General features: G+C 51.8%; 1 annotated feature.

Moving 5' to 3' along the window:
- Nucleotides 460-1,193: an enhancer, noted in NCBI's record as "H3K27ac hESC enhancer chr6:122050901-122051634 (GRCh37/hg19 assembly coordinates)". NCBI's record gives its function as "activates a minimal SCP1, AML or CMV promoter by ChIP-STARR-seq in primed H9 embryonic stem cells {active_cell/tissue: H9 hESC(primed)}" and the evidence as "EXISTENCE:reporter gene assay evidence [ECO:0000049][PMID:30033119]".

Consider the following 2,290-nt stretch of genomic DNA (forward strand, 5'->3'; position numbering starts at 1 on the left):
TTCAAGCATCTGTTTAACAAAGCACATCTTGCACCGCCCTTAATCCATTTAACCCTTAGTGGACACAGCACATGTTTCAGAGAGCACGGGGTTGGGGGTAAGGTTATAGATTAACCGCATCCCAAGGCAGAAGAATTTTTCTTAGTACAGAACAAAATGGAGTCTCCTATGTCTACCTCTTTCTACATAGACACATCAACAATCTGATCTCTCCTTCCCTTCCCCACATGTCCCCCCTTTCCACTCAACAAAACCGCCATCATCATCATGGCCCGTTCTCAATGAGCTGTTGGGTACACCTCCCAGACGGGTTGGCGGCTGGGCAGAGGGGCTCCCCACTTCCCAGACAGGGCTGCCAGGCAGAGGCGCCCCCCACCTCCCGGATGGGGTGGCTGGCCGGGCAGGGGCTGCCCCCCACCTCCCGGACAGGGAGGCTGCTGGGTGGAGATGCTCCTCACTTCCCAGACGGGGCAGCTGCCGGGCGGAGGGGCTCCTCACTTCTCAGATGGGGCAGCCGGTCAGAGACGCTCGTCACCTCCCAGACGGGGTGGCAGCGGGGCAGAGACACTCCTCAGTTCCCAGACGGGGTCGCGGCCAGGCAGAGGGTCTCCTCACATCCCAGATGGAGCGGTGGGGCAGAGGCGCTCCCCACATCCCAGACGATGGGCGGCCGGGCAGAGACACTCCTCACTTTCCAGACGGGATGACAGCCGGGCAGAGGCTGCAATCTCGGCACTTTGGGAGGCCAAGGCAGGCAGCTGGGAGGTGGAGGTTGCAGCGAGCGGAGATCACCCACTGCACTCCAGCGTGGGCAACGTTGAGCACTGAGTGAGCGAGACTCCGTCTGCAATCCCGGCACCTCGGGAGGCCGAGGCTGGCAGATCACTCGTGGTCAGGAGCTGGAGACCAGCCCAGCCAACACGGCGAAACCCCGTCTCCACCATAAAATACAAAAACCAGTCAGGCGTGGCGGCGCGCGCCTGCAATCCCAGGCACTCAGCAGGCTGAGGCAGGAGAATCAGGCAGGGAGGTTGCAGTGAGCCGAGATGGTGGCAGTACAGTCCAGCCTCGGCTGGGCATCAGAGGGAGACAGTGCAAAGAGGGAGAGGGCAGTACAGTACATCCTCGGCTCGGCATCAGAGGGAGACCATGTAAAGAGGGAGAGGGAGAGGGAGAGGGAGAAGGAGAGCTCAAACATAAATTTAATTGTCTCAGCAAGGCAATTTTTACCTTTCTGCAGAAGGGGTGCCCCTTGCAGATGAAACAATGGCAAGAGCACACCTGGACAGGGGAGGGGCAGGAGTTCTTATTCCTGATGCAGGTAGCCCCTATTGCTATGTCGTTCCCCTATTAGCTAGGGTTGGACTGCACAGTCTAAGTTAATTCTGATTGGCTATTTTAAAGAGGGCAGGGGTACGAGCCAGAGTGGCAGGGTGAGTGGTTTGGCGGGAAGGATGGTTAGGGACAGGTAACTAAAGGTGACTTAGGTCAGAGCAGGTGACCAAGGGTGACTCAGGTTTTGCAAAGCAGGTGACTGGGATGAGTCAGGAAGGAGCAGGTGACCAGGGGAACAGATGTGAACTACTGATTAGGACTGGTGGGAAAGTTGTTTACTGAAACTAGAAGCGAGGAGCCAAAGAGAACCAGGGAGTTAAACTTTAAAATGGAGAATCGAAGAATATGATAGCTGAACATACTGACATGCTGATTCTTTGAAGAGAAACTTGGGGTTCACTATATTTAACAAAAAGATTTAACCAAGAATATGCTGGGCTCAGTGGTTCACACCTGTAATCCCAGCACTGTAGGAGGTAGAGGCCAGCAGAGGCAGACCACTTGAGCCCAGGAGTTTGAGGTAACATAGTAAGACTACTTACAAGAATTCTTATGGGAAGGTGAAAAGTGGTATTCATTAAACACGGAATTTATAGGCATGCAATATTCCCGAGACTATTGGAAACCTTTATTGATAATCTGCAAGTAGTTATTCTACAAAGAGAAATCCATGCTAATTGATTAGGGAATGATGGAGATAAATATGACCAAAGCTGTGATAAAACAAATTTCTCATCTCAACTTTATATGATCAAAATATCAGAAATGAAAAAAGTATATAAAGAGAAAACTTGGTAACAAATTAACTATACCTCAATAACTCAAGGACGTATAAAGAATAGAGAGACTCCCAGCCTGGGCAACATGGTGAAATCTTGTCTCTACAAAAAATAGAAAAATTAGCCAGGCATGATGGTGCATGCCTGTGGTCTCAGCTACTTGGGAGACTGAGGTG

This window comes from Homo sapiens, chromosome 6 (genome assembly GCF_000001405.40).
Source record: "Homo sapiens chromosome 6, GRCh38.p14 Primary Assembly".
Taxonomy (NCBI): Eukaryota; Metazoa; Chordata; class Mammalia; order Primates; family Hominidae; genus Homo; species Homo sapiens.